Here is a 12,046-nt window from a genome sequence, read left to right on the forward strand (position 1 = left end):
GGTGAGCCCATCACTATTTATTATGCCTACAGAGCAGATTGAAAAGTTCTCTTTCTGTTCACTCAGGTCCGGGGTTTTCTGGTTGACAGTTCTTGATCCAATGGGTTAGCATGATAAATCATTAATAAATTGGAAGAAACAATGAACATGCGGCCATTTAGTTCTCATTATGATGTAAGATAAACTGTCAATAAAGGGTCTTATGGTGTGGGCTGGAGTCATAGGTATAGGTTTCCTTCTACATATTTTAGAGAGGAAGTAGAGAATATGTGGAACCCAGAGGAACTTCAGGATTTTTTTTTTTTTTTTTTTTTTTTTAGACAGAGTTTCACATTTGGAACTTCAGGATTTTTTTTTTTTTTTTTTTTAGACAGAGTTTCACATTTGTTGTCCAGACTGGAGTGCAATGGCACGATCTCAGCTCACTGAAACCTCCACCTCCCGGGTTCAAGCAATTCTCCTGCCTCAGCCTCCTGAGTAGCTGGGATTAGGGTTACAGGCACCTGCCACCACGTCTGGCTAATTTTTTTTTTTTTTGTATTTTTAGTAGAGACAGGGTTTTACCATGTTGCCCAGGCTGGCCTCAAACTCCTGACCTCAGGTGATCCACCTGGCTTGGCTTCCCAAAGTGCTGGGATTACAGGCATGAGCCATTGTGCCCAGCTGGGAATGTTTCCATTTACCACCATTTCCACTGGTAAAAGTGAAGAGAAACTTCTACAGACACCAGAGTGAAGCTTTAAGTAACACAGCTGAAGCATCACATGTACTTAGACACTAGTGCAGCAGAGGGGAGATGAAACGCACAGTGAACTTAGGAGATGTGAACACCAGCTACAGCCTCTAGGTCAGCTTCATAGTAGAGAAGTACAGGAGCCAGTCCACTCATTCCTTCTTCCTTCTTCTGTCATCGAAGCAGTCAGATACAAGAGAAGCCATTATGGCTGGTGAAGCAAACTCGCGTTTATTGTCATGGATTAGGTGAACTAAGCCAGATGGAAAGAGCAGAGGAGTGGGCTCAGGCATTCATTTCACTTCCCTGTTTCTTCCTGCGTTTCTATGCAGAAAAATCCTCTGATTGTGACAGGAAACTTGTGAGGCAGGATGCTGTGCCCACAGGACAGTGCTGCCTGGCCAGGACCCAGACCAGGAGAATGAGCCCCTCTGGAAGGCATCTCCCCTTCCCTTATTAACTTCTGAAAACCACTCTGCAGGGGCATATCTCATGTGCAGAGCCTTAGTCACATCTGGGACCCTGAATGCCAGAGACATGAAGGTTAGCCTCACCAGAAACGACCATAAAGATCGTGCTGGAGGCCAGGGGATAAAAAGAATACAGAGAAAACCAACTCATGAAATCTGAATGAGTCACGCACACATTTACATATGTTAAATATTTTTTTCTCAACTGTCCCTTTATTAAAATTCTTTTAATACAAAGTGCTGTTTTGGTCACCTATATAATTTATACCACAGATTAAATGATATCCAGATTGACTTGTGACTCATGAGGGAAGGTCAGTTTTTCCTAGATGGTGTTGGACTGAACAGATTTGAGTTTTTTCACCTTTTGGGTAGAGGTGAGCATGCTGCTATATGCAAAGGGAATGTCTGCATTCTGTTAGGTGTTATCACATTGCTGTTGATATCATGAATACCAGAGGGTTCAAGTGTAAGAAGATATGTACTCATGACAGAAAGCCACAGGGTGGATGGGAGCAGAAATAGCACCTGGAGTCATGTAAACAGAGGGGTCTGCATGAGACTGAAATGGGGATGCAACCAGCACAGGGAGGGCTGCACTCAGGTGGGCAGGTGGCACCACCAACCTTAGCACACAGCTTTCCTCCTTCTTCCATAGCCACTGCTCCCCCATGTCCCTATTGCAGATCTCTCCCTCATTTATTCCAGTACTTGGAAGTATGTCCCGGCCTTAAATTCCCAGGCTACATTTCCTCAACTGCTGAAGCTAACATTGTCATGTGGAAAATTAGAAATTTGACTTCATTGTCATCCTCAAGGCCTGGCTTGTTCCAACCCCACCAGATTCAGAGAATGTTGGGATCTTTCTGCTTCATCCAGGTTGGCTTAGACACAAGGTGAAATTTAAATGTGTCGAGGCTTTGGCCTCCTGCCTAGCAGCCATCTTCCTCCTTTGGTTTCTTGGGCACCAACTCTGTCCTGCTGTGCATGGGGAGGACAGAAAGTTTCTCTCAGCCCAGGACAGGAACAGAAATTAGGGGGACATGAGTTTGGTTCCACAATAAGATGTCAGGGAGTGAGGGATGAGCAGAGATTCTGGGAAGAATTTTCATCCCTTATAAAAAGAAGAAGGTGGGGCCGGGCGCGGTGACTTATGCTTGTAATCCCAGCACTTTGGGAGGCTGAGGCGGGTGGATCACGAGGTCAGGAGATCGAGACCATCCTGGCTAACACGGTGAAACCCCGTCTCTACTTAAAATACAAAAAATTAGCCGGGCGAGGTGGCGGGCGCCTGTAGTCCCAGCTACTCAGGAGGCTGAGGCAGGAGAATGGCGTGAACTCGGGAGGCGGAGCTTGCAGTGAGCCGAGATTGTGCCACTGCACTCCAGCCTGGGCGACAGAGTGAGACTCCATCTCAAAAAAAAAAAAAAAGAAGAAGGTGGTGAAGAATTTTGGCCTGCATTCTTTCCAGTAATCATGATGAGAGGAACTGATTCTTAGAGCCGCTGCAGCCATCTTAAGACCATGAGGCAGTGAGCCTACGTCTGCAAAGCCAATGTGGTGGGGTGCAAAGTAGAAATAGAGAAAGAACCTGGGGCCTTTCTGCTGTTGCCAAGATGCTTCACCAACTCGAAAAGCTCCAACCTTTGGACCTCTTTGCTTAAGCCATTGCTATCATTTGTTTCCACTACTTCCAAAATTATTTTCATTTAGACAGAAAAGATACTCAGTGAAAGACCACGGCTGGGCCTTAGACCTGCTCTTTAGAAGAAGACAGGCATTATCATATGTGTGCATTTGTGGGAGTCTGAAGCATGAAGGGCAGGAACCAAAATAAGTGATATCCTCTCCTGGCATCTTGGTCCTGCTGTGTCCCTGGCTAGAGAAACCCAAACCGCTTCGAAGAGTTTATAAATTCCATTCTCCTGCTGTCGTCATTTCTATTTTCATATTCTAAATATAAAAGAACCCTTCTTATCTTCAATTCTTCCCTCTGCAAGATTGTGAAAATAGAACCATGGTTAAGAAACAGACAAAAAAGTTTGAAAACACATAAAATCTAAGGATTACATGCATCTCCTCCACACCACCGTGGTGTTTGCAGGTTTCCCCTCCTTCTCAGTGTTTTTTGATGGGAGGATGCTGACTGCTCCAGCCATGTTGCCGGCAGAGGTTGCATTTGGAGGGTTTACAAATAAAAGCTTCCAGACAGTTACTGTTGGATGCTGGGGAAGGTAGCAGGAGGGTTGGGTCTAGATTCCCAGCATGGAGGAGGCCAGGGTGATTCCTGGGAAAGGCTGTTGGTGTGGAAAGAAAAGACTTAGAACTCAGACCTGTGGCCTCCACCTTAAGATCCAAGCATGGGAACCATTTATCAAAGAGCCAAGAAACCTGAGTTGATTCTTAGATAGGAAGCCCCATCTCATCAGTGGCCACCACCATCTGTCATTCAAGTTGAGATTCACCTTCAGTGATGGCTCCACATAACCCTCAAAGCAATGGCTGTCAGGCCCTGAACCAGTCTACATGAAGCAAGCTTCATCACAAGAAGTATGAGGGTAGCCTCAAAAGTGAGACACCAGAGTCCATGGCCTGAAGGAAAAAACAGTAATTACTGAAGTTTATACCAATTTTACTAACATCCTTCCTAATGTCAAGGATTCCCCAACTTCCTGACAGTCAGTCTCCTCTGCATGTTGAACTAATGCCTTGTCTGATTCTAGGCTGACCATGAACTTAAGTATCACAAGAGATGTGCTTCTTCTTGCCTTTCCCTCCAGGTAGAGGCATCATTTTCCTTCTGGTCATTGTCAAAAGAGGAAAGTTTTCCACTAAATATTGCTCATTTCCATACAAGCGTACTGGCCCCAGTCTTAGGTCAAAACCCAGCAACTGCATAGGTCTAGTAAGTCCTTCCCTCGGTGCCTCTTTTTAGTGTGCACCTGCCTTATGCCTTTCCCTGAACCTAAGTCTCTATAAAGTCTGATGCCTCAAGCGCTACCCAGGCTCTGAGCACTCCTCACCAGCATGTTCCTGGTGGCTCAGAAGCAGCTCCCCTGGGGCCTGGCTTTTTGGAGAGCAGTTGAGGGGGAGTACCTGGGGAAAGGCTAAGTGAGTGAACCCTCTCTCCTCAGTGAGGGCAGCTAAAACTGGGTGCATATTCCTGCTGTTCACCATCAATGCCACTTTCTTCTTTTACTCTTTGCAGTGAGTGGGGAAATCATCCCAACACAGGAGACTGCTTGCTTGTCAGTACATTCAGGAAAGAGAGTTTTTGTCTCCTGCTAAGCCAGCAACAATGTACATGGAGAAATATCTTGAATCAGTAAAAAACTTGGACAAAGACTTGAACCCCTTACATCTCATGTCACTACCTTGGTCCTAGGCATCCCAGCCCAGTATAGTGGCAGCAGAACTGGAACCAGCTATGCCTTCACTATCAATGCCCTGGAGCCTGGGGACTACGGGGAGTATAACTGCATGCTTGACTATGGGTAGCCAAGCAATGGTGGTGCAGTGTGGGCACAGAATCCCTGCTGCCTGTCATGCAGCCTGAATTTCTAGGGCACATTCTTGCATTCCAGAGAGATGTGGCCCACATGGACCCTCCAGATTTCACATACACATCTTTTTTGAGTGGATGTAGCAGTAGTTGTCCTAATTCTTTTCTGCATTTCTGCTGACTTCTCATGGTGATATCTGCCCCTCGCTGCTCTCCCTGAAACTACAGAAGGCACCTCTGACTTCATGCATGGTAGACCTCAGAGCCTGGAATGAGCATCCCCTAGGACAGCCCTCAATCTGTGGTGACTAAAGGAGGTGTATACATACCACAGCTCCCTCATCTCTCAGGTAGAATAGCCCAGAGGTTCTTGTGTTTTTACATTGGCATGAGCTTTAGTGGTCCTCATGGTCCTCATGAGCAGCTGCTTATTGATGAGCTTTTCACTGGCCATGTCTTCCCTGCCTCACTTTCCCCCTTCTCTCCCAGGGTTTTCTGTGCTTTGTAAATATGTTGTCAGCATGGGAATTCTTGTCATTGTAAGACCCACCTTAAGACAATAGGCAAATTCTCATGTGTAGAGGTATCTTTATCTAAATTCTAGGGATTTCTTTTTTTACGGGTAGAAAAATTCAGAAAGTTAGGGAAACATTTAATTTTCCTTTACCAATCTCTCTTAGATTGCAATTAAGTAGCAATTCTTTTCTTCTGGGTCCCAAAATCAGAATAGTCTCTAACAAATAGCTACACATGTGAGGTCCACATTGGAGCAGCAGCAGCAGCAGCAGCAGCAGAATCCTCCAGCCCAGGGAAACCCCAGACCAGAGGACCCTGACTCAGATCTCTCCAGCTCTCTTGCTTTATAAAGATGTTGGTTGCCCACATTCTATCCTTCTTCCAGCTATGTGATTTTGGATTCTTGTTTAGAGAAGGACAGTTTGGGGCCAATAAGAATGATTGGTAGTGTGAGTAAAGCACTCCCCATCTCTTCTCAAAAAAAAAAAAAAAAAAAAAAAAAAAAGATGTTTGTGCCTAATCTGTGGAACCTATGAATGTTGCCTTATATGGCAAAAGAAACTTGGCAGATGTGATTAAGCTAAAGATCTTGAGATGAGAAGATTATCTAGATGGGTCACATGTAATCACCAGTGTCCTTACAAAACTGAGGCAGGAGGATCAGATTTGGGGAGGAGATTTGGCAAGGAAGAAAGACGCTGAGTGATGTAAGAGAAAGGCCAGGGGCCTGGAAAGACAGCAGCTTCTAAAAGCTGGAAAAGGCCAGAGAAAAAGTTCTTTCCCCCAGCATCCATAGGGAAGCTTACTTTTAGCCCAGTGAGAGCTTCATTTATCCCAGTGAGACCTGTGTGAGATTTCTCCCTTCCAGAACTGTAAAAGAATAAACTGATGCTGTTTGAAGCCAGCAAGGATGTGGAGATTTGATAGAGGAGCTACAGGAAACACACACAGGGAGAGAATGGCATTTGCCTCTCTGTTCTTGCCTCTTTCAGCTTCTGGTGGCTGCAGCTTTCCTTGGCTGCGGTCACATCACTCCCGTCTCTTTCTCTGTGGTCACACTGCCTTCTCTTCTGTCTGTGTTAAACTTCTCACATCCTCTCTTACAAGGACATTTGTGATTGCATTTAGAGCCATTATGGTTAATCCAGATAGTCTCCCCATCTTAATATTATTAATTGACATCTGTGAAGTCTTTTTGCTCAATTTAGGTAACACTCACAGGTATCAAGGAACTAACTTATTAAAGTATCCAATCTTTCTGTGCATACATACACAATTTATCTCTCTCTTTCTCCCCATTCTCTCTCCTTTCCTCATGATCAAAAATCACTTCCTTAAGTAAATCCAGTTCCACCTATGGCCAGGTCAGAGCAGCACACAGGGGAAGGCCTTGCTCAGGGTTTGCTTAGAGACCTGCTCTGCCCCCATTATCATGCGGAAGGAAGGACACAGCCACAGACAGCCCTCAACCATCTGGGAGAATCTGTCTCTACAGAGGAAAGTCATGGGCTAAGACCCTCCAGACCTGTGATTGTCTTCAGGGGCCTGTGGTCCTCAGCCCTCCCTCTGGATGTCTGATTGTCCTCGGGGATCTGTGGTCCTCAGCCCTCATGGAGGGTTTGTCTGGCCCCCGGTGGTCCACCTTGGCCTCTCATTTTACTCTTTGCACTCACCAAGGAAGTATATTTGCTGTGGGCTGAGTGAGGTGACAAAATAGGCCAAAGTATACAAATAGCTGTATTTTATAATTTTGTTTGTATTTTTCTCAATTAAATTTATGGGATATTTTGAAATGTTTTGCAAGGTGTCATATGAAAATCATTTTTTAGTCATATCTTGACTCAGTAGGTGGGATAAACCCTAATTCAGGGTTAATCTCTAACTGTCTTCACAATTTGGGACAAAAAAATCAAGTGTTGGCTCATCTGCCCCTCCCCTGGCCTCAGCTCCCACCCACTTCTTCCATCTGTCTTTTTTTTTTTTTTAATTATACTTTAAGTTCTAGGGTACATGTGCACAACGTGCAGGTTTGTTACATTTGTATACATGCGCCATGTTGTGTGCTGCACCCGTTAACTCGTCATTTACATTAGGTATATCTCCTAATGCTATCCCTCCTCCCTCCCCCGCCCCCACGACAGACCCCAGTGTGTGATGTTCCCCACCCTGTGTCCAAGTGTTCTCATTGTTCTATTCCCACCTATGAATGAGAACATGTGGTCTTTAGTTTTCTGTCCTTGTGATAGTTTGCTCAGAATGGTGGTTTCCAGCTTCATCCATGTCGCTACAAAGGACATAAACTCATCCTTTTTTATGACTGCATAGTATTCCATGGTGTATATGTGCCACATTTTCTTAATCCAGTCTATCATTGATGGACATTTGGGTTGGGTCCAAGTCTTTGCTATTGTGAATAGTGCCACAATAAACATATGTGTGCATGTGTCTTTATAGCAGCATGATTTATAATCCTTTGGGTATATGCCCAGTAATGGGATGGCTGGGTCAAATGGTATTTCTAGTTCTAGATCCTTGAGGAATTGCCACACTGTCTTCCACAATGGTTGAACTAAGTAGTGGATTAAGCAGCTTGTTTTATTGACAACGTTCTCTTTTCTTTTATTCCTGTTTCATCCTCAGCCTTCAGAAAATAAAATAAAAATCATAATTCTCAGAGCTTTGTTTTTGTACTTTGTCTCGAGTTATAATTTGGTAGTATTTCCCAAGAGCATATAATAATTATTGTATTCTAATTTATCAAATTTTATATAGAATATGATATATAATAACACATATTAATCACAACTATAGTAAATTTATTGACTCTTTAGTTAAAAGACAGTATTATCAGATTATCTCAGGAGTCAGATAATAAATATTTAGGTTTGGTGAGGCAAGATGCAAAATTGAATATATTATGTGAGTACTTAGAGAAGAGAGAAAACAAATTTCTGCAATGTCTATTAATGAACTCAGATGGAATGTAACCCAAAGAGCTTCTCAGCCTGTCCAGTGAACTGTCACTTACCACCAAATGCTCACAATTTTAAGGAACACAAGGAAACCCCAAATTGAATTATTGTTTAGATCAGAAACATGAGCAGAGGTTTCCAAAATTATTAAAGTGAGAAAGGCCTGAGTCTGATTGAATGGATGTGTTGTGCAGGATGGGGTGGCATAGAAAGTAGGGCATCACCCAAGGAATTGTTCCTGGCCTGCTGGACAGCATTGTCGTCTGTTTGCAGGGAATGGAATTACACACACTGAAGGGTCTGAGCCCGGGGCCTGCTCATCTGTGCAGCCGTGATGATCATCACACCCACAGTGCTGGGCCTAATTGCGTGTTGCCCTTTAATAGTTTTTACAAAGAATGAGGAGGCTTCAGGGCTCATAGGAAAGATGGCTAAGCTGCAAAGGAAAAGTGTGTGTGGAAGATGAACTTCTGATGAACTAGTTTTCAGCCAGGTACATTCATGCACCAATGGAGATGACTCGGTTCTTTGGAGAAATAAGGAGAGGAAAAGAACCACAGGCTTCTATTTTATTCCCAACAGGTTTGTACTAAATACCATCTGGCTGGGTCTAGGTGACTAGTGAGACGGGAAGAAACAGGGGCTATAGTCTGTGACCACAGGGAAGAAGTTCTACCATCAGGCTGAGCCAATGGACTTTTCTGGCCTGACCACCTGGGCAGGGGCTGCTGAGTGCAGAGAGGAGGAGGCAGGGGGTCTCTGCAGCTGGAAGCCCAGCACCCACTCCAACTACTTTGCATATCCTTCCAGCCACTCTGCTGTCCAGAGCCCATATCAATGCCTGGGTCAGAGCTCTCGGGAAGAGCTGCTCGGTTAGGACCCAGAGGGAACCATGGAAGTTCCAGCTCAGCTCCTCTCCTTTCTGGTACTCTGGCTCCCAGGTGAGGGGAACACGGGATGATTCTGCATGCCAGTGAAACTCTGTCAATGTTATTGGGTCCTGTGACCTGCTCAGCAAGAACAATAATTAATATTCAATGTACATCAATGATCCCAGCTGTACTGGGAAGACAGTGGATTTGATCTAGATTGCACAATTGACTTTCCTGTTTTATTCCAATCTCAGATACCACTGGAGAAGTTGTGCTGACATGGTCCCCAATCACCCTGTGTTTGTCCCCAGGGGAAGGAGCCACCCTCACCTGAAAGGCCAGTCAGATCATTGACAACTATTCAGCCTGGGACCAGTAGAAACCTGTTCTGGTTCCCAGGCTCCTTATTTATAGGGCATCTACCAAGGCTACCAGCATCCCAGCCCGGTTCAGTGGTGGTGGGCCTGAGGCAGACTTTACCCCAACCATCAACAGCCTAGACCCTGAAGATGTCACAATTTTATTACCCTCATCAGTACAGCAGTGGGTGTCCCACAGTAATTCAACATGAAACAAAAACTTTCACAAAACCATTGATTTTTTTTTTCTAAAACCAGCAGCTTTATGGGCTGCAGCTATGATGGCTGCTCAGTTTTAGCAACTGTGCCTCTATTTGGAAATTTTGAAATTCTGAAAAGTAACTCGTTGTCAAGATGGTGACTCCAATGTCTGTATTTTTCTCAGACTTATTTACAGAGTTAGGTTTTGAATCAATTTTACTGCAAGGCCTTCAGACAGACTCACCTGCATGGATGCCTTTAAAGACACAGGTGCCGCTGGGCACAGTGGCTCACTCTTTTTTTTTCCAATAGAGTAGAACAAACATAGCTTTTCATTTAATAAATTTTCACTTAATGGCAGCATTTTCAGGAACAAGTAAAGGCCACCGAGTGAAGGTTAGGTGCACGTGAGTAAATAAGACAATTTTGGGTCCCAATTCAGTAGGGGAAAGAGCCATGAAGGAAGAATAACCACACAATAAAAGTGCGTAGAATAATTTCTGTAGTTGACAAATTGTGTAAAAAGCAGGAATGGTCTGTGGTATCTGGAGGCTGAGGCCATATATTTGTGCTGATCAGGGAAGGCCCCAGGGTCATACTGAAGATTCATCTGAGTGGTGAGGAGGCAGCCAGGTGACCACAAAAACAGCAAAGACCACGGGATCATTATGGGAAGGGCAGGGACCAGTGTGTACTGAAAAAGTCAGCAAGTGCTAAACTAATCAGATGCCTTCTCTGATTTTTATTCCCGTAAAGATAAAACTTACTGTAATATCTTACATCATACACCTTGGTCTGGGTCACTCCCATGGCATAGAATGTTCCCTGGTTCAGAAGTTGGAAGCCCAGGTCTTTCCTTTGTTGACAGTTTGCAGGCTCCCCAGAGCCCTTCCCTGCCACTCAAGCCCTTATCACTGGGTCAGTCTCTGTCTTTGAGTTGGGATCACCATAGGCAGGGGCAGCACTAGACACTGGACATGGGGCTCTGGCCCTCTGGGTTCTAGTTCCCTGGTTTCAGCTAAGGGGGCTCCACATGACAGAGTTCATATGTCCCATAGGACAATGGCTCAGATTGAGGCCATTGTTCAGGGAGCCCAGCATTCACCTCCCACTTGATCAGCCAGCAGGACTCTGCTGGGAAGCCTATGGAGAGGGACATCATTAACTGGGGAAGATCTGTGTTTTGTTTCCACCTCAGATTCTACAGGCAACTATGTGGGCCCCAGTCTCCAGCTTCCCAATCAGTGTCTCCAAGAGGGACAGTTTCCATCACCAGCCTGGAAGCATCCAGGGAAGGTTCCTGAGATCCACCCATGTGCTCTGTCTACCTTGGCCATGGTCCACCCCAGCTTGGTACAGTGGTCCTGGGACACACCTTTGCTTAACAGTTAGAAGCTTGGGTGTCCCAGTGACATTACTGGTTATTACTGTCTACAACTGTGCTGTTCCACGTGGGAAACACTAGCAGTGATAGCCACAGATGTGTCAATTAGAAATACTTAAAATTAGAAAAGTAGCTTCACAGTTACATCAGGTACATTTCATGTACTCAGCAGCCACAAAGGACTAATGACTAGCCTATTGCACTTCATACATACAGACATTTTCATCATCTTAGAAAATGACTTTGCTTAGCACAGATGTAAATGATAACATCTGATTACTCGCAGTGCTATAGCTGAGAGCACAAACCTCAGCAGTTGTTCTTTTAGAAGATCAGGTGTCCCCGGATGCTTCCTCAGCTCGGAAAGCTACTGTGGTTCTCAGAGCTGCTCTGGAAGTGTTTCTGGGATGGGAGGAATGAGGCTGGGTTGACAGATCCAAACCAGGGGCCGTCAGCTTCTCACCCCAGTCCCTGCCATTATGCCCTACAGGGTCCTTTACAGCCCTCTCTTTTTTCCAAAACCACATCTTTGGCATGTCACATGGATCCCAGAATCTAGCCACCCTAATTGTTTTGTGACAAATATTTTTCCTGCATACCGTTTGTCCTCAACTAGATGACTGGTTTATTGAGGGGAGGGGCCATTTCGTGTTTTCTACAAAATCTGTCCTAGTGATGGATGTCATAAGATCAACTCCATGAATACCCATGAAAAGATTTCATCCATAGTCAACGCTCACTGGACCCTAGTATCTAACATCCTGTAAGATGCTATGTTAGAAACTGGCCAATAGATGGCAGACAAACACCGTAATAAACAAAAGATAGACGTCTGATCTTAGAAGTAATGAGGAAGTAAAAGTGATCATGTCCCCTTATGGACAGGGAGGCCCTAAGGCGGGACTGGGGTCTCCTGTCTGACATGGTTCGCCTGGGAGGAGCTGCCAGTGTGCTTAGTGATGGGAAAATCCCCTGTGCTCTGAGACCGGAAGCCTCATCTTGCCCCTCCCTACTGCCTTGGCTGTGTCCCCAAAGCC

General features: G+C 45.0%; 1 pseudogene and 1 further gene, besides 2 other annotated features; both read left to right on the forward strand.

Annotated features, from left to right (window-relative positions):
* Positions 1 to 12,046, forward strand: part of IGK (immunoglobulin kappa locus) — a 1,378,008-nt gene that overhangs the window by 1,040,313 nt on the left and 325,649 nt on the right.
* Positions 9,086 to 9,134: a sequence feature (IGKV3D-34 leader sequence).
* On the forward strand, positions 9,086 to 9,618 carry IGKV3D-34 (immunoglobulin kappa variable 3D-34 (pseudogene); annotated as a pseudogene). Its single transcript is given in 2 exon segments — positions 9,086 to 9,134; positions 9,320 to 9,618. Coding segments are annotated over 2 exon segments (348 nt in total).
* Positions 9,320 to 9,330: a sequence feature (IGKV3D-34 leader sequence).

The sequence above is a fragment of the Homo sapiens genome, chromosome 2 (assembly GCF_000001405.40).
Source record: "Homo sapiens chromosome 2, GRCh38.p14 Primary Assembly".
Classification (NCBI taxonomy): domain Eukaryota; kingdom Metazoa; phylum Chordata; class Mammalia; order Primates; family Hominidae; genus Homo; species Homo sapiens.